The sequence below is a fragment of the Homo sapiens genome, chromosome 9 (assembly GCF_000001405.40).
Source record: "Homo sapiens chromosome 9, GRCh38.p14 Primary Assembly".
NCBI lineage: Eukaryota > Metazoa > Chordata > Mammalia > Primates > Hominidae > Homo > Homo sapiens.
The window spans coordinates 24043627-24064828 of NC_000009.12; the positions used below are offsets into that span (position 1 = coordinate 24043627).

General features: G+C 37.2%; 1 long non-coding RNA gene across 1 annotated transcript in view; it reads left to right on the forward strand.

Annotated features, from left to right (window-relative positions):
• The first annotated feature begins 2588 nt into the window (after positions 1-2588).
• Positions 2589-21202, forward strand: part of LOC124902327 (uncharacterized) — a 100784-nt gene continuing 82170 nt past the window's right edge. Inside the window, exon 1 of the long non-coding RNA XR_007061897.1 lies at positions 2589-2683. This is a non-coding gene — a long non-coding RNA (uncharacterized LOC124902327). The remainder of the gene's footprint in view (positions 2684-21202) is intronic.

The following is a 21202-nucleotide window of genomic DNA, read 5'->3' on the forward strand; positions in this document are numbered from 1 at the left end:
GAATGGATATACATGTTAGCTTAAAATAAAATATTTAAGTTATATACTTATAATTTTCTGATTGCCTGATGATTCCTGATAAGGGGGTTTCTTGTCTGTTTAAGGTGGCAAAACAGAGGTGCAGGCTGATTAACTCAGTAACTTAGATCCTGCCATCTAGTACAGTGGCAGAGCTAAGACAAAGTGGCAGAGCAAGAAACAGGATTTAACTCCATGGCTCTGTTTAACTCTATAGTTCTCCACAGTTTATGCTTTGTCTTTTACTGCCTCACCAATGTCATAAATTTGAGGGTTAGGAATCATATGCCAGGAAACCCCATGGAAAATTGTTGTGTCCACATGGACTTCAAAATTCCCCCTACTCCATTCCCGCCCTGAGAAAAACCTTCCTCTTTCTCAGTCAGGGATTAACCTATTTGATTTTCAAAAACTCTAGGGAAAGATATTTCATCACATCACATTATGATTATCATTGTTATAAGAATTTTATTTTCCTTAGAGACTCTACCAATATACCCTCCTGCTAAGATGCAGAGCTTTTAAGCAATAGGAAAGAACAGAAATGACTTTTAATGACATGACAACATTGCTGAAGATATAAGTCCCAGAACTTCTCTAACTTCATGCTGTCTCCCCTAGCTACTTACTTGACACTTTCTGAATTACTCATAACTGAAAAAATACACTGTGTTTTAGGCTTGGTTATTAACATCACATTAGAAATAATTTATTTAACCAGTTTCTATCTGTTGAATTAACAGAAATACCAGCTCTCCTGGAGAATTTCCAGAGAATGATTCGTGATCATATTTTCTTGAGAATTGAAGTGGTATAATGCTGAACAAGAGAATAATTGCTATATATACAGATACCCTCTTTTCTCAGGACTTGTTTATGTGATGTCCAGGTTCCTTGTATTAGTTACTATGGCTGTGTAACAAATTACCCCAACTTAGTGGCTTATAACAACAATATTTATTTACTGTCTTTCCTGGTTTCTGTGGTTCAAGAATTTGGTTGCGGCTTGGCTAAGCTATTCTGGCTTAGGGTCCCTCATGAGATTGCTGTCAGATGTTGACTGGGGTGAGTCATTTGAAGCATTGACTGGGACTGGGAGATCTACTTGCAAGGTGGTTTTCTCACGTAACTGGCTGGTGGTGCTGATTGCGGGTGGGAGGCTTCAGTTCCTCTCTACTTGGGCCTTTCTAAAGGGCTGCTTGAGTGTCCTCGTGGCGTTACAGCTGGCTTATATTCAAGAATCCAGTGTAGAAGTTGCAGTACATTGATCTAGCCTGAGAAGTTATGCACCATCATTTCTAGCATATTCTATTGGTCACCTAGGATCAAAAGGAGCAAGGATCAGGAGGGGACTGTCTTAGAACCTGGCTACCACAAACCCCTGCTTTGTCCACCTGGGATCATGGCAATGATCAAAATTTGTTATTGTAATGATAGCTGTCTGTCTTCTCTTTCAGAATTTAAGTTCCTTTACTGTCTGTGTTGTGTTACGTATTTTCTCTTTCTTAAATGCATAGGTTTTTAGAAGTCTTTTTAACTCCTTTTCATCTCTTCACTCTGAGTCTGGATTTGATGACTGCGTTAATTATTTGTTGCTGCAGAACAAACCACACCAAACCTTAGTGGTTTAAAACCACAATTGCTTGTCTGCTTATAATCATGTGGGTCAGCAATTTGTGCTGGGCTAAGTTGAGTGGTACTGTGACCATCTGTCTTGCCTGGGGTCAATCATATAACCCAAGTCATCTGACAGTTCGGATGGAGCTAGATGATCTAAGATGACCTCACTCATATGTCTGGTGTTTGGCAGGTTGTCAACTCCTTGATTCTTCATTATGTGGCCTCTCCAGCAGGTGAGCTGGAGCTCATTCTCATAGTGGTCTTAGAGTTGCAATCGCATCTGGAAGAGGCAAACCCCAGAGTGTAAACACATTTCAATTCTCTGCTTGTATTATGCTAGCAAATATTCCATTGACTAAGGGAAGTCACATGGGCAAACCCAGAGTCAAGAGATTGAGAAATTGATGTCACTTCCTGATGGGAGCATTGGCAAAGTCACATTGCAAAAGGGAGAGATACAGGATGGGAAGAATTATTATGGCCATCTGTGCAAACAGTCTGCCCAAATAGCTTTCCTCTGAGCCTTTGGGTAACCTTTCTTTATTTGTATCACCCTGTAAGCTATAAGCTCCCTGAGGCAAGGGCCATGGCTGGTTTATATTTTTCTATATATTTAGCACTTTTCCCACTGTTACATAAATATTAGTTGAATTGAAATGAATATAAAAACACTTTCAGGGAAAGAGATTGTGGAAAAGGCAAGTAGAAAATAAAATGGAAAGACTCATGCTGTATTGACAATTTTCAACTGGTTTAGTTATTTAAACAAAGCCTCAATCCAAGCATACTAAACCATTTGATTTTTAAAAATTACATTATTAGTTGTTTGCCTGAACTCACTACCTGTTTGGTCAAAAAGATTGGATAAATTGTGGGTGTGTAGATAAAATACAAGTATAGTATGCCAATCAACATCACACGTTCATATTGCTGGTTCACATTAGATGCTCAATAAAGCGCAGCTGTGACGTCTCTTGTTCAGTAATCATGGGACTGCTCCTGTTGCCAACTTTGCCTGTAGTTCACCAAAGTCAAGTTGCCCACGGTAAGATAATTTTTTTTTAAGATTATTGTTGATAGGTTCCAAAAGTGTATTAGGTGGTTAAATTCCTCATTGTTACCAATGGATTAGTGAGTCAAGCAATAAACATTAACTTATTAATGTCAGTAACACTTTTACTTTCAGTATTCAATCTAGTTTTATTTATGTTTTATCATCTGTGGCAGTAGTTTTCAAATTAAGAGTATGTAAATATTCAAAATATTTTGTTCTCAGAGTCGGGGAGGTAATCAAAAAATATTTTTGATAAGGCTGCATAGACAATCCAATATTCCCAACTTCTTTGTGTTTGACTAGAATTTTATTGACTAGAATTACAGTGTGTCAATTTGGATTATTTCGTCCTGATCAAAGTTATGGAATATCTGATTAATGAGAAAAAGAAAAGCAGATTGATGTGTATATATTGTAGCTTATTAAGTAGATCAACTCTTTCGAAGCATGAAGCCCATGGAAAGAAATAGTAAGAGGAGTTTACTGGTGAAAGCTGAGAGACTAAAGTCTGTATTAAGTTCCTTAACATCTGGGTGGTCAATATGGTTGTAAGTAATAGGTCTTATGAGAATTATGCAATTAAGATAGTTATAATGGGGACGGGTGTATTTATAATCTACTGTTATTTAAAAAATATTATCCCAAAATTTAGTGACTTAAAACAACAATAAGCATTTATTATCCTACATGATTTTTATGTGTCAGGTATTTAGACAAAGCATAATGGGATGACTTGTCTGTGCTCTATAGTGGCTGGAGCCTCAGCTGAAAGAATTAAGAGTCGGGGCTGGGAATAACTGAAGTCTTATTCATTCATGTGGTTGATGCCAGAGGATCTCTTTGGACTTGTTGGTCAGAACACTCCTACACCCTACACAGCCTCTTCCTGTGGCCTGGGCTTTCTCACAAAATGGTGGTTGGATTTCAAGGACAAAGAGAAAGAGAGAGAGATAAAGGGTGTGTGTGTGTGTGTGTGTGTGTGTGTGTGTGTTTGTGTGTGTGTGTGTGTGAGAGAGAGAGAGAGAGAGAGAGAGAGAGAGAGAGAGAGAAGCTGTATTGTTATTTATGACCTAGCTTTGGAAGTCATGCATTATCACTTCTGCTGCATTCTAACCATGTAGGCATTCATAAAGGCCAGCTCAGTTCTGGGGATGAGGAAATAGAATCAGTTTCTTGACGGAGAGTGACGAAGTGCTGGAAATGCATATGGAATTAGAAATATTATGGCCAGTTTTGGAAAATATAATCTGCACCCATGGAGCAGGAGTAATCATGATCACATTGTGTGTGATCATGAAATCTTGCTAGGGTTTCAAAAAATAATTATACGAAATTTTTGATCTGTGGTCTGAATAATGAATATGATTGGTAGTACTGAGCATAGCCAAGGATGTTGACTCCAGGGGGATGGTATTAATTAAAATATCTTTCAGATAATTCAGAAAATATAAGCAAAATGTTTTGTTATATTCATGGCATGTTTTTATTGCAGGTGACAAAAATTGAACTCAAATTGGTTCAATCAAAAAGAGTGAATTTATTAACTTGTATAACTGAAAATTTGGGGGACAATGCTAGCTGAGAGTACAAGTGGATAAAGACCTCAAATGATGTTGGCAGCAGGAATCAGTATCTCTCCGTATCTTAGCTTTGCTTTTCAGTTTTTATTGCTTAGGCAGGCTTTTCTCAATCTTGAAAAAAGAAGCCAGCAGCAATTCTAGGTTTATATTTTACCAGCTTAGCAACTCCCATTAAAAAATTGTCTCTTTTTCAATAATTCCAGCAATTGTTTGGAGTATTGAGACTGGGTAGACTCTGAAAAGGTGATTATGATTATACCAATCTTTGAGTGTTTATGACTTTGATTAGTAAAGCTTGAACCATGTAACATCCGGAGGGCTGGAGGTTGGGGTTGGCCTCATCTACTCTCATGAATCAAGAGGCATGATGTGTGTAATTGGTATATGCAGAGAATGCCTTTCACAGAAACTGTGGAAATATAATACTGACGAATTGATGTGGGCACTGGGTCCCTGACGAAAGAGCACTTTCTGGCTATGATAGACAGGATGGCTTTGGAGGTCACCCAGAAAAGACTGAAATCCCCAAGGATCAATGCTACAGGGAAGAAATTGAGAGCCTATGCTTGTTGATTGATTTAATAAGTTATATATCAATCTGACTTCAGTCTTATGTATTTATTTGACACTTAGTTGTTAAACATCTAATATGTGCCAGGAATGGAATTTTACATGTTTGGCTAGGATTGTAATTTTAGTTTAAGTGAGAATTAGAATTGTCTGGGCAGGTCTGGCAGAGGTGTGGTGTGAGTTAGTAAAAAACAATTGTATGAGGACCTCAGAGCCTCTTGGGAAGTACATTTGAGGGAAGGTGAAAGTCTTTGAAGTTGGAGGAGAGAGGCAAGTGCAGCATGGTGTCTCCCATTCAGATCAATTCCCTAGCCCAGTTAGCCTTGATTTGTGTATGAACCCCAGGGAAGGCAGTGGGATTAGAAGTCAATATTGAAGGAGCTGTAAGACAAATGGTAACACTGCACTGCAACCTCCTTCTGCAGAGAGAAACCCGAAGGAGAGAGAAACATTCTCTCACTTTGCTGCTGAATAGTCGGATGGCTTTGGTATCTTGAGAACTACAGTGTCTGGGATATGGTGGGAAAAAATAGCTCCCAGTAAACTCCTAACAGGCATAAGTTTAGGGTAGAGAGAGAGTATTTATTTATGAAGTTGTGGATGATATTCTTTGGGTTCCTTCGAGAACACGTGGGACCATTGCTTTTTTAGAATGGGAAAGTGATGGTCAGTACCATAAAATGTAGGTTTTTACAAATAAGAGGGACATTTGAGTTACATATAGTTTGGTATAGTTCAGTAATTTCCAGTACTATTGGAATATCTTATTTGTCCTTTATTAATACAAGGGGCTGTGGAGTGGACTGGACTTAAGAAGGATTAACCTTAAAAAGTCTGATTTTTGGACTGGTGCATTAAAAACTGTAATAACATCCAGGGACATGTTGGAAGTAGACACCATTATTTCTCAAATATACTGATTACATAATCTGCAATTTAAAAGAAGATGGCCATAATTATCTAATGGATTTTTGGGAGGCTATGTCAGAGATGTCTGGCCTTGTAAATGATCCCACACAGAAGATGATCAAATGCACTTCTCTCTGAACTGCTCTATTTTCAAATTTATTAAGGAAACTAAGGGAGCTTAATTAGCATAGTGGTAGGCCAGAAGACATAAAATAATAAAATGTTGAGATTACAGAATAGTGGGCTGTAATAAAAGTATGCTTAAAGTGTAACATAGAGGAATAAATGGAAATAGGCAAGTTCACAGAAGAAGACATTTGAATTTGGCTTTGAAAGATGATTTGAAGTTGACTAGATATAGAGATAATGAGGAAAGACCATCCAAGTTGGAGGAAACAGAAATGCAAACACATCAATAATCCCATGTTTGGAACAATGTGTAATCTTTTATATCTTGCTTATGAGTTTAAATTTTATCTTGTTAGACGTTAGGAGTCACAAAATGATTTAAATTGAAGAATGACATAATTTGATCTTTGTCTCAGAAAGATTGCTTTGACATAATTTTGGAGGTCTGGAGATAGAGAAGAGGAGAAAAGACTAGTTAAGCCTGTCATTCATAAGCAAGGCTAGCAAGGTCAAACTCCAAGCAAGAAATGATGAAGACTTTGATTTGGTCAGTGATGGGGAGCTGAGAGGAAGTGGTGCATTTTTGAGAAAGACTGATGAATTGTGTATTCATAAATCAGATAAGACACTGTATATTTCTATTTACCTAATTTTTATTATATGTACTTTAACATAGTTTTATACTTTAGATGGTTGGATGTGTTATAGCAAAGGACTCAAATTGTCTTAGTAGATGGTGGCTAAATATTCATCAAATAGCAATACTTTCTGTTGGGGTTTGCTCTTGAGTTTATTTCAAATTATATGAAAGGAGAGAGAATGAATGTGAAAAAGGAAATTAGTAGTCTACTGTATTTTAATATAGCATGGTTTTTATTTGAATATGCCAAGAAGATACAGAGTAATTGACAGTCTGATTTATTTATTTATTTATTTATTTATTTATTTATTTATTTATTATACTTTAAGTTCTAGGGTACATGTGTACAACGTGCAGGTTAGTTACATATGTATACATGTACCATGTTGGTGTGCTGCACCCATTAACTCGTCATTTACATTAGGTATATCTCCTAATGCTATCCCTCCCCCCTCCCCCCATCCCATGACCGGCCCTGGTGTGTGATATTTCCCATCCTGTGTCCAAGTGTTCTCATTGTTCAGTTCCCACCTATGAGTGAGAACATGCGGTGTTTGGTTTTCTGTCCTTGAGACAGTTTGCACAGAATGATGGTTTCTAGCTTCATCCATGTCCCTACAAAGGACATGAACTCATCCTTTTTTATGGCTGCATAGTATTCCATGGTGTATATGTGCCACATTTCCTTAATCCAGTCTATCATTGATGGACATTTGGGTTGGTTCCAAGTCTTTGCTATTGTGAATAGTGCCACAATAAACATACAAGTGCATGTGTCTTTATAGCAGCATGATTTATACTCCTTTGGCTATACACCCAGTAATGGGATGGCTGGGTCAAATGGTATTTTTAGTTCTAGATCCTTGAGGAATCGCCATACTCTCTTCCACAATGGCTGAACTAGTTTACAGTCCCACCAACAGTGTAGAAGTGTTCCTATTTCTCCACATCCTCTCCAGCACCTGTTGTTTCCTGGACAATCTGATTTTTTAAGAGAATGAATGAAAGCGTTCAAATAGGCTGCCCTTTGTCAGAATTTATGTAAGCATTCAGATTCTTAAGGTTGTGTTATTATACAACTAGGGAAAAATTTTCAATGTCAAAATGTGATTTAAAATATAAATATGCACTTAAAAATTTTGGAATAATTGACATATTATATGGGAAAGCCAAACTATGACAGTATTGTGACCTTCTTAGCTCTATTTCTGTAATATTTCCACTCTCGGATCAATCAAGTTCTTCAACTGAATGTTTAGTTCAAACTTAGATTCTGGAGACAGTCCTGTTTCTGATCGGAGAAAGTTAAGAAACCTGAGGAAGATAGCTTGGGAGGACCTATATTAAGTGTCTTTGGACAGGTATAGTCTGATCTAGTGTTCTTGATTTGTGAATTGGAATCCTGATACCAAACTCTAACTTGTGTCTCAGTTTCAGTGACGTGTTTTAATTTTTGTCCTATGTCTTAACCCTGCTTTGATAATTCATCTAGTATTCCTGCTACTTGAGATTATAACTCATACTTTATGTCTATCTAGAACTGAAGTCCTCAAAATCTGGGGCCATGCTATCTGTTACTACGACTCTCTGACAATCCAACTACCTTTGTCCTTGAATCAGCGGCCTCCAGGTGTCACCCTACTCTGTACACTGTCTACTGGGAGATTCACATCTATTCTATACTAGTAGCTGGATCTTATTGCTGGTCTCTTTTGACTTGTTCTGTCCATTTGCAGACTGTTCTCTGATTTCAAACCCTAACAGACCACAATCTCCTATATTTATGCTAAAATAATGGTTTTCAATTTTCCCCAAAATCTGTGGAAATGGTTCAAGTAGTCTATGTTTATATTTAATAAAATTTTACTTAACTGTATTTTTAATTATTATGAGCCCACCCCAAAGTGTCAACCCTATGGCAATAAAGCACAGATTCTGAAGTCAAGCTTCCAGGGTTTAAGTCCCAGCTCCAACATCACTCACTTGAGTGGCTTTACAGAAGTTGATTAACTTTTCATTATTTTAGTTTCCTAATCTGTGAAGTTGTTGTAATTAAATAATTTATTGTGGGGTAAAATAAGATTATTTATGTGAAGAACTCATCACAGTGCTTGAAACATTGTGTCGCAAATATTGTTATTTCCCACCTAATAACCACTCTTACTTTTTCCTTGCAAAGAGAACCCAATGTTGTTCTGGCTGCAACAGCCCCAGGAGTTAAGTCAGGATTTGATTGAGCTGAGATAGGATGCCACTTCACTTCTTCAGTGGGGGATCTAGGGTTGAGTGTATGAACAATGAACATAAGGAAAAGTCTTCTTTTCAGGAGTTTTGGGGAAAAGCATTACTCACTAATAAAATGTGAAGAGGAAAGACCTTCCTAATTTTGCTCTGCCCTCTATCTTTCTGCTTCAAATTCTGTCATTGGAAAACTTGCCAAGTAGAGCTACAGCATCCATCTTGCAACCCTGAAGCACCAAGATGGAGAATGAACATCAATGTGTTGAGGATAGTGGAAGGATGGGAAAAGCCTTTCTCTATGATGTCATTGTTGAGCCACTGAGCCAATTAAAGACATCCAAATTGTGGACATTTAGTTAAATTTACAAAAGTTATTATAGCCTAAACCAGGCATTGGCAAACTATGGCTTGTGGGCCAAATCTGGCTGTTTTTTTGTTTGTTTGTTTGTTTGTTAAATAAAATTTTATTGCAACACAGCCATGCCCATTCATTTACATGTTCTCTGTGGCAGCTTTCATGCTTCAATGGCAGAGTTGTTTAATGGCAACACAGAATGCATAGCCCACAATGAGTAAAATATCTACAATTTGGCCTTTTGCAGAAAGAGTTGTGGACACCTTGCTTAAATCAATGTTAATTATATTGTCTTCTGTTTGAGGTTGAAAGCATCATAATGGATACATTGAAAACTTTTAATAAATATTAACTATTATTGTTCTAGTAAAAAACACACGTGCAATGGAGTAACTTTCTTTTTCCCAGTTCTAGATAAATCTTCTGCCATCTCCTCTTATTTGAAGAGTATCCTGAGATGGTGAGAAAAATAGTTCATAATAAACAAAAAATTCTGTTCCCACTTTGCAGACATTCATATGTGGGAATTGAGACTTTTATTTATACCATAAAACCGAACCGAAAAAAATTAGAAAGAAATTGTATGTAAAGCTTATCTAGGGCTGCACCTGTCATATGTACTTCTGATTTCAAAATGAATGTTCACTAAAATACTTTCACTTTCGCCATTCATTATAAAAGTGGTTATAATGCATAACATTATAATGAGTATTTTATAAGGAAATACTACATACATTAACTTGTATTTACACTTTAAAATAGTCATCTATTTTACATTATAGGACACCAAGCAATATTGTACTTGAAAAAAATTGAAACAAATTCCATTCCTCAAAACACAGTTGAAAACCAAGGATGTAGAAATATTTTAGCTGCCTGTTTAACTTTGAAATCTTTAACTTTGAAATGAGGCCCTCTTATATGAAGGACCTCTTCAAGGAGAACTACAAATCACTGCTCAAGGAAATAAGAGAGGACACAAACAAATGGAAAAACATTCCATGCTCATGGATAGGAAGAATCAATATCGTGAAAAGGGCCCTACTGCCCAAAGTAATTTATAGATTCAATGCTATTCCCATTAAGTTACCACTGACTTTCTACACAGAATTAGAAAAAACTACTTTAAAGTTCATCTGGAACCAAAAAAGAGCCCATATAGCCAAGACAATCCTAAGCAAAAAGAACAAAGCTGGAGGCATCACGCTACTTGAGTTCCAACTAAACTACAAGGCCACATTAACCAAAACAGCATGGTACTGGTACCAAAACAGAGATATAGACCAACGGAACAGAACAGAGGCCTAAAAAATAACACCACACATCTACACATCCGGTCTTTGACAAACCTGACAAAAACAAGAAATGGGGAAAGGATTCCCTATTTAATAAATGGTGTTGGGAAAACTTGCTAGACATATGCAGAAAACTGAAACTGGACTCCTTCCTTACACCTTATACAAAAATTAACTCAAGGTGGATTAAAGACTTAAACATAAGACCTAAACCCATAAAACCCTAGAAGAAAACCTAGGCAATACCATTCAGGACATAAACATGGGCAAAGACTTCATGACTAAAATATCAAAAGCTGTGGCAACAAAAGCCAAAATTGACAAATGGGATCTAGTTAAACGAAAGAGCTTCTGCACAGCAAAAGAAACTATCATCAGAGTGAACAGGCAGCCTACAGAATGGGAGAAAATTTTGCAATCTATCCATCTGACAAAGGGATAATATGCAGAATCTAAAAGGAACTTCAACACATTTACAAGAAAAAAACAAAAAACCCCATCAAAAAGTGGGCAAAAGATATGAACAGACACTTCTCAAAAGAGGACATTTATGTGGCCAACGAACATTTGAAAAAAAGCTCATCATCACTGGTCATTAGAGACATGCAAATCAAAACCACCGTGAGATATCATGTCATGCCAGTTAAAATGGTGATCATTAAAAATCCAGGAAACTACAGATGGTGGAGAGGATGTGGAGAAATAGGAACGCTTTTACACTGTTGTTGGACATGTAAATTAGTTCAACCATTGTGGAAGACAGTGTGGTGATTCCTCAAGGCTCTAGAACTAGAAATACCATTTGACCTAGCAATTCGATTGCTGGGTATACACCCAAAGGATCATGAATCATTCTACTATAAAGACACATGCACACATATGTTTACAGCACTATTTACAATAGGGAAGACTCAGAACCAACCCAAATGCCCATCAATGATACACTGCACAAAAAAACGTGGCACATATACACCATGGAGTACTGTGCAGCCATAAAAAATGATGAGTTCATGTCCTTTGCCAGGACGTGGATGAAGCTGGAAACCATTATTCTCGGCAAACTAACACATGAACAGAAAACCAAACACCACATGTTCTCACTCATAAGCGGGAGTTGAACAATGAGAACATGTGGGCACAGGGAGGGGAACATCACACACCGGGGCCTGTCAGGGGGTGGGGGGCTAGGGGAGGGATAGCATTCGGAGGAATACCTAATGTAGATGACAGGCTGATGGGTACAGCAAAACATCATAGCACTTGTATACCTGTGTAATAAACCTGCACGTTCTGCACATGTATCCCAGAACTTAAAGTGTAAAAGAATAAAAAATAAGGCCCTCTTTCTTAAGATCTTTGTTTAGTGCTGGAGTGTTTTTTTTTTTTTTTTGTATCTTAAACCTATTGAAATGCTTCACAATTTACTTAAGAAAAAGGCACCTATCATTCTGGTTATCTACTCTTAAAATACCAAAAGGTATTTGTAATAGAGGAGTGGTAAGTAGTCAAGTTATCCCTACCACGAACTGCTAAGGGACCTTGGTGAATTCCCTTCAACTCTCCAATCATTTCTTTCTTATGGCAATACCTTAGCAGGTGGTGTGAGGATCAGAAGATAGTGGTTTCTTAGTAAACACTTATTATCTAATTTCATAATGGATTTGACACTACACTTATGATTTATAGCACATGTAGAGGTTTTGATGATTTTAACTGCAGATTGAAAAAAGTGGAGTCAAATAGGTTTTTTTTGTATTTGTTTTTAAAGCCTAAACTATTGAGTCTATAACAGGAAAAGAACATTATAAAATGAATACGTGATTGATCAAAAATAGCACATGTCAGTACCCCAGGTATAATAGAAGACTCTTGATTGCTTATGACAAAAAACAAACAAAAATACTAAACTTGGTTTTAGAAAAAAAATTCAATGGCAGATAAGCTAAAAAACACCTAGGGTATAGGTCTGTGAGGGCTCTGTGGCATGGTTAGATACAGGGGTCAAAAAGCACTTTTATCATCTTTCTCTCTTTTTCTCCTTTCCTTTTTCATTTCTTTGCTTGGCTTTCTATTTATTGCTTGACTTTTCTCTGTAGTAGCTTTATTCTTACCTAGGTTTTCTTCCTATAATGACGTGTGGTAAGTCCAGGATAACATCCCACCTATCTAGCAGTTCCTACAGAAGTCCCTGGTTATCATCCTCATCCTCCTACTGCTATGGACAAGGAGACCTAGTTCACATGTCCATTCCTCAAAACCAGTTGGTAGGCCTGCCCCAACCAAATTTCAAAGACTTAGAACAGAGTAAGGGCCGGCCTTGCAAAAGGAGAAGTTAGCTTCTGGCACAACAAGAAATTAGAATGCTGTGAAGATACTCATATCTCTCACTTGCTGAGTGCATGATCTTGGACAAGTTATCAATCTTTCTTCAGCTTTAGCTTCATCACTTCCTATTGATAGGAAGAGTTACTCCAGAGGTTTAGGTTGATAATTCAATGGCCTAAGGTATTAGAGAGTGTCCTAGAGTTGCTGGCATATACCCAGCTGGTAGGTACCCTTATTACATCTTTCCTTGCTTTCAGTAGCATGGAAATAAGATTTCGTGAGGAAGCCGAGTGTAAAATAGGAGCTGCTCTGAAATTCCTACCACAGGATCACTTTCCTTTTGATCTCATACATTTATACATGGAAATCATGAAAATCCGTATAATATTTCCTGTAGGTCTAGGCTACGTTAATGCAGCAAGCAAATATAACCTGGGGATAAGGTGGATAATTCAGCTCTTGTAGTCCGTTAGGAACAGTCAAATAACTCTATTTATCTTCCTGGTAGAAGATGTCTAAACCTAACTGTCATCAGGGATAAAAATGCCCGAAGGTGCTCAATACCTGTTACCTCCCACAGAATATTCGCCACCCCGGGCATAAAAGTCAAGAGGACTGTGGGACTATCAGTCAATGTGTTGATTAGTAATCTGCTACTCTCCTGTTTTGTCCTGTTAATGTGAGGACAAAAGCTGTGGTAGTATTGATACAACCTGAGGAACGCACAGCAATTTCAATGTGTCGTTCGTCGGAATGAAGCCATAGCTATGTAGCCTTACAAGTGCTAAAAGCAATTAGTTGTAACTGATCTTGACTATCAAAGAAATGCATGGGAGGCTGGTTGTGTGGTGTGGTATCCTTTTAATTCCTGATTGATTTTTGCTGTAGGTTATTTTTTGTAATTTTTCTAATAACAAACACTGGGTGACAATAGCTTTTCTTCAAGCATGTATTGTGATCTTTCGTTTCTTGGTCCTGACATAATCCATTAGTGGCTACATCACAAGCCTGGATAGAAACACAGAGCAGGTCAAGTCCCATTACAATAAAAACTTTTGTTTAACAAAATGGTTCCCAAGTCCTTCTGTGGCAGAATTAATTCAGGCAGCATGAAATAAAGTATTTTGGTATCATAAACGGTTTGGATTTTCTCTTTGAATTGCTCTTAAGTAATTATGAAATCATTCATTGCTTATTCAATAATTTAAAATATCTACTGTGTCTACTGCTTGCCACTGGGGTTCATGGCAATGAACGAAACATCTCTTCTCTGAGAGACATAATATTCTTTAGGATGGCAAAGACAATTGGATTAGTTTACTGAGACTGCCACAACAAAATGCCGCAGTCTGGGTGGATGAAACAACAGAAATTTATTTCTCACAGTTCAGGAAGCTAGAAATTCAAATTCAAGGTGTTGACAGGGTTTGTTCTCCTGAGGCCTCTTTCCTTGACATGCAGATGGCCACCTTCTCACTGCGTCCTCACACGGCCTGTGTGCACATTCCCTGCTCTCTCTCTGTATGTCCAAATTTCCTCTTATAAGGATATCAGTTAGAATGGATTAGTGCTCACCTTAGTGGCTTCATTTTGACTTAATCACCTCTTTAAAGGCCCCACCTCCAGTGTCACATTCTGAGGTACTGAGAGTCAGTGCTTCAACGTATACATCTCTGTGGGGGTGCATAAATAATCTCATAATAATGTAAATTAAACCAGTGAGTATGTATCACTTAAGCTGGTACCCCAAAACTATAAATAAAAATAAGGCAGGGTAAATGATTGGGTAGAATGCTGGGGAAATTGTTTTAAACAGGACAGTCAAGAAAATCCTGTCTATTGAAATAGCATTTGAACAGAGAAATGAAGAGAAGGAAAGAAGAATGGGAATATTTGGGGGAAAAGTGTTTTAGGCAGAGGGCATTGTGTTCAGTGTAGTAGAAAAGAGCCTAGAGGCTGATATGGCTGGAGAGGAAAGTGTCAGGACAGAGATGAGAGCAGAGGGGTAACTGGTGATCATCATGGAAAGTTGTAGAGGCCTGCTAGGAAAGGGTAACAATCTGCCGGAGACAATAGATTCCTAAACCCACAATCAAGGCTCAGTGTCTTATATGCTAGTGTAGGGCCGTGCGGGGTGTTGTGGACAGGACTGGCTACCTAATTTGTAGGGCCCAGTGCAAAATAAAAATGTGGGGCATCTTGTTGAGATGTGAAGATGGTGACATCAGGGTATTAAACCAAATATAGGATCATTCTCATCTCAGAGCTCTGTGCAACTGCACAGGCCACATGCCCTGGCTGTGGAAACATAAGAGAAAAATCTGGATTTACATACATGCTTCTTCAAAGGTAAAATGTGTGTTCAGAAGCTGGGTAGTCTTGTGGAAAGTGTGTTTCTGTGGTTTAGATTTAAAATCTCAGTTAAAATCCCAGCTTCTTTGCTTTCTACCAGTGAAACCAACTGGTTACAAATTTCTCATTTGTAACAAGACGATAGTGAACCATGTCTTATAAGGTTTGGTTTTGGTCCAATTTTGCCAAATAATGGTAAAAAATGTTGGGTAAAATACAGGATTCTCTCGTAGTCCATTTTGTGTTGCTATAACAGAATGCCTGAGACTGGATAATATATAAAGAAAAGAGGTTTATTTATCTCACGATTCTGCTGGGGGAAAGTGCTGGCATCTGCTAGGCTTCTGGTGAGAGCCACATGCTGGGTCAAAGCATGATGGAGAAGGTCAAAGGGGACAGGAACACGTGTGAAGACCCAAGTGGAGTCCTGGCTTTATAACAACCTACTCTTGCAGGAACTAGTCCAGTTTTGCAATAACTCACTCACTACTGCTAGAATGGCACCGAGTTATTTATAAGAAACCTGTCCTCATCATCCAAAAAACTTCCACTAGGCCTTTCCTTCCAACATCACCACACTGAGGATAAAATTTTAACATGCGTTTTGATGGAAACAAACAAATCATATCTAAACCATAGCATATTCCATAAAAAATCATCAAGTAATACATTTAATTTGCTTCTCTTTTACATTCTCTTTTGACATCACTTCCTTCCTATAATTCCTGAACAAGGAAAATGTTTTGTGAACTAATGGTAATGATTTACACTGGAAATGAAGATTATTCACCTTTTTATAAATGCAGGAAATCAGTCTCATTTATATGATACATTTTATTATGGGCAAGAAGCCCAGGTGTCAGATAGTGTTTGCTTTGTCCCATGACATAACCGAAAGTGTATGTTGATGGTCTTTATTACTCTGCAGTAATTATTTGGTAAAATGAGCCAATTCTAAGTGAGCCTCTGGTCTTGGCCTCATCCCTTTTGCTTCTTCCCCGCTTAGACAGTCATTTTCCTGTCCTTCTTGCCCAACTTTCTCCCCAAAAAGCAGCTGTATTTGTGTGTCTCATCCTGAGAGGGCAGGCAACTGGCTGCTATCAAAGTCACTCTGTGGCCTGGCCAGTGGGGAGCCATGAAGAACCATCTGCTGCAGAAATTGAGTGTCACCTCTGCAGTAGTCTTGTTTACAGAAAGATCATGGAGTTATTCTTAAACGAATATATGGTTTGCCAAAGAAAAGGACATAGTTTTAAGCAGTAAATAAGGAGAAAGCTGTAACCCATCTTGGTAAGCCTGCATACTTAGCTGCATGGAAATAGTTTTTCTGTAATCATGAGCAATGACAGCGGGAAGGCACACTGGAAACACACCTCCTATTGAATGCAGTCTCAAATATGAAAACATAAATGACAAGAACACCTAACTTGTGGATGAAAATCAACAAAAGTATTTGTAAAGTTTGTATTAATCATTTTAACTCTCAGAGCCTCCCTTTGTAGTATCATCCCAGTCATATCTATTGCCTCTAAGGCTCCAATTGCAGGGCGCGTTAAGGAAAAAGCATGGGCTTTGGCACCAGACTGATTTACATTCAAATCCTCACTTTACTTACTACCTGGGTTTACATGAACTTGTCAAAACCTCTTGCGATTGTTTCCTCATCTATTAAATGGGCATCATAATACCTACTTTAAAGGGTTGTTGGAAAATTTGGAGACAATCTAATGATTATCACAGGAAGAACTTGAATGTAGTAGATGATCAATAATCATTAGGTATTATAATTAGCCAATATTAAGATGATTGCTTTTCGTTATTCTTACCCATACATGAGTACAATAAACTTACTACAAGAAATATAGGCATCTGACTAAACATACAGTTTTAATGGTGGTTGACAACACGGCTTAAGTTAACTCTTACTTGAATACAATACAATGCACGTTTTTAAAGTGCCAATTATGGGAAAATCATTGTCCTTGCATTGGGAGGTACATAAACAAACCCTGAATTCAAAAGTTGGTGGAATGATCAAGACATGAAGCTACTGAACTGTTAACTATTTTGCAAAAGGACAACAGTTCATTTCTCTATAAAATACTCTTTGAATTCTTTCTGTAGGACATGTTGATATTTTAGTTAGTCATATTTCTTGATCATAGCTCCACTGAAAAACATTTCATAACTTGGTTAGGATTCAAAATTTTTATATTATTTTCTTTTTGGAAGCTGTCTCTCTGGTTGAGAACTCATTAAAAAAATGTATCACATATTCTTACCTAAAACTGAGATGTATCTTTCTTGATACTATTTCTAAATGAAAGCATGAAGATATTGAACCTAGCCTGGTGCTATAGGAAGAGAAGAACCACAGGAGGTATGAACAAAAATAAGAAAAAGACAAAGAGATAAGACTTTAAAATGTCAAGAAATGAGGAGGGAATAAAAGGAGCAGCTTTAGAAAGAAAATGATGCAAAAACTGGAAAAATATATAAGGGAAAATGAAAGGCAAAAGAAAAGTTAAGTAAAGAGAAAAGCAGGTGAAAAGGGAATTTATGTCAGAATATGTGGCCAAGTCATAAGATCTTTGTCTTACTTTTGGTCTGAAAGAGGATTTTCTTGCTTGAAAAAATATTTTTAATCCATGACATTTGTTTTTTACTTACATCTCTTAGAACATTTGAGAATCCTGGCCACTGATATATAAATCTATAGAATCAAACAAATTTTATGTAATTCTTGCTATTTTTAGAGATCTGCTGTTTGATCTCCTTTGAATATAATATTAGCAGTAGATTTCATTAATGAACACTGCCATTCACAAAACAGTCCCCTCTTCCAGTGGGGCAAAATTAAAATTGTATTCAGCTAAATGAGAACACCAGGAATCACTGCTGCTACTTTGATAAATTGTGAGACTGTTCTAATGATAAAATACTTTCTAGTTCTCTTTATAAACAGTGGGCTCTCATCCTGGAAATTCCAAGCCCTCACTGATGTCCAAAATAATAAGCACAATTGGAGGATTGGAGACCATTTTTCTCAGCATGGAGATGTACTCTTATTTCTCATCTCATGTTTTAAAGTGATTTTCGGAGGTTTTCATTTTGAGGCATAGATTCCGCAATAAAGTGTAGCACATCGTTGTTTTGACCACAGTAGAGTTGTGTTTTTTTAAATGCAGTTTGTTCCATCTTTAATTTTCTAAACAAGATTCTGAAAAAATTTCTGGGAAGTTTTCAAGGGAATGATCTTACATCTTAGCATTGTGTGGCATTTACATTTGTATAAGCCTACTATGGCTCTGAACAGAAATCTCAGTGAGTCAAAGAATAGGGTTTCTTTTAAAATGTGTTTATCAATAAAATAACTGGAAAATAAGTTTCCTTTCAAAGTTTTGAAATGACAACAACATCCTATTTGTCATGAACATGTCTGGCTGGTTAAAAACAAATAGAAAATTATTTTTATGTGTCTTCAAGATACTTTTGTAAAGATATTTTAAATTTGTATTTATTAATAAAAACCCAAAGTTAGAATACCAGTAATGCTTTTTTCTACCACCGTTATTTTCTTCTAGAAAATGCATATGATTAAAAGCAAATTTCCCTTTCTTCTCCTTAGAATACTGCTTTCCTTGATATTAATCTGACCATAAACAAAGCTATGAGACACTAAATCTGTTTCTTAGCACCAAAGATACAACACAGAAAATCATCAAGAGATCCTCAAATCAAATTTTGCTTTGGCTATCAAGATTGGAAAAGAAATGATAGGAAAAAAAGTTCAAAGCCAACAGGAAGCTCTTAGAAGTCAAGTGTTATTATTGTAGCGTTATCATCAGTCTGATTCATTGCAGTAGTAATAGTTGAAATTGTTTATAATCAAAGAGAAGAATGGAAGGACCACGTCATCGAATATTTTGTTGGGGCTCTTTAGGGCTTTTCACATGGAAGATATGTATTATATAAAATATACTAGTAAAAATTGATTTCTCACCCTTGGCACTATGTTTTTTTAAGACCTGTTAGCATATGTATTATTTTAAAAAGTAATTGGCTCCTAAGAAAGTAACAGATTTCGTTCAATAGTCTTCTTTTGAGTATTAATATCCTGATTAAACAAAAAATCTTCATAGTTCAGTCCCATGAACAAAGACTTCCCTTTAAAATGAACATTCTGTATCAACTCTAAATTAAGAACTTCTCCAGATTCAAACTCTGAATGGATTGTGTGACAGAGAATAGAACATGGACTCCTTAATCTCTATTCTTTTCCTTGTCTATTCTAATTTACTTGGTTGTATCACATTCCTAATTTCCCTCAAATCTTAGGGAAGACAGGAAAAATGGTCAAGTTAGGGAAGAAACGTGCAGACATCTTATATGGAGCCCATAGAATGGATGAAAAAATTAGAGAACAATTTTAATTTAAAATCAGTTCAGCTCCAAAAAGGAAAGGGTTAAGCCGAGAAGGGATAGGTCTTGGCATGTGAGACACGTTTGTTTGGATTTGCCGGTCATGAAGTATTTCCCTTAGTTGGTCCACATCAGTTATTTATTTCTCATAGGTTATTCTGCTATGGACATGGTCAGTGCTCTTGTAGAAATGCTAAGATTTTTGGGTGAGGCAAATGATATCCTCTCTACAAGGTCTCTATTGGTAGCAGTCTGTGGCTACTACAATGCTTTCTTTTCTAACCTGCTTTCCTTATCTTTGAATTTTGGAATGCTGCTCTGTATACTTGGTTACCAAGCTGATGTGTGTCTCTGGCCTGGATGCTTGCTTCTCCATTAATACTGCTTACCTGTTTTATTCCACAACCTTACCTTAAACTCTGATACAGTTGTGTCCTGATTCCTGATGTGGTTTTTCAATACTTTATTTTTCTCTCCACATATAACATACCTAGCTGTTGAGTGCCTGGGTTCTACCTCAACTAATAACTTCCAGGTATTATTCTGCTCTGATATTCTGTCTCAAGCTCTAGCTCTTACCATATGTTACTTGGTCTCTGTTCGTTACCTTCTCTCTGAGTTCTATTTGCCTCCTAGAGTTTCAGAACAAACATTTATGAATACGTATGGAAAGGACTTCTGGGTTCCATAAGAACACTGCTTTCCTCCTTATCAAGAAGCCTTGAACAAATTTTTCTTTGTCTTATAGCTGGTCGAAGTCTGACTGTCAATACAATCATATTTATTATAAAAGATAAGTCCCAAAGGGTAAATGTTTGGGTTTGATGCTACAGTCTTCTATTTTGTTTCTTCTAATTAATAAAACTTTGCTTCAGACATGGTGTGTGGGAACTGTGCTGAGTCTGAGGAAAAGCTGATAAATCTCTGAAAAAAATTGTGTTATAATTTTGTATAGTAGTGATATTGCTGCAGAAAAACAGGTGCCAACCAAAAAGCCTAGCTTTGAAAGAAAGCTTCATGGTTGAGTTATGAGACAGCTGGGGAGCAGCAAAATAGATATGGATCCATAAGCCCTGCAGGAAAAACAACTTTAATCAGGGCCTGACACATTTGGTGATTGTAACGAAGTCTCTTGGTATGTGTAAGCCCTGGATCAAATGGCACCAATTGGCTATTGACAAGCGTTCCATTAGTGCAAAACTGGATGAAAAACTGGCCGTTGCCCTGCACAGACTCCAATAATAAGAAATGAGGTTCTTGTACGGAAAGGGACTTAGTTTGTTTTCTAAAAACATATGTGCACTGGCCCAGGTGATACCTCTGGTGGACTGAAATTCCTCTAAGCTCAGCCTTCAGATACTACAGTGGCATTTAGTGAAATCTTTCCAAGTCTCTCCAAGTGACAGGCCTCTTTGACTCCTTAAATTGATTCCATGGTTCTGAATACCAGTAGCTAATGCTGACAGTTTGACCCAGGAGCAGGGAGCGTCGTCCTGCCCTGAGAGCCCCTCAAATGGATTTTACAAGGGAGTGGTGGATATTACGCTTCTAGGTGCGGTGAAGCGTGTTTCTAGCACTTTCCACAGATCATAAATTAATTTGAAATGAACTTCTCCCCTCCCAGAAAACACAATATCAGAGAAGGACTGTCATCATGGTTTTTCTGTAGCATAGTACCTGAGGGGGGAAAAA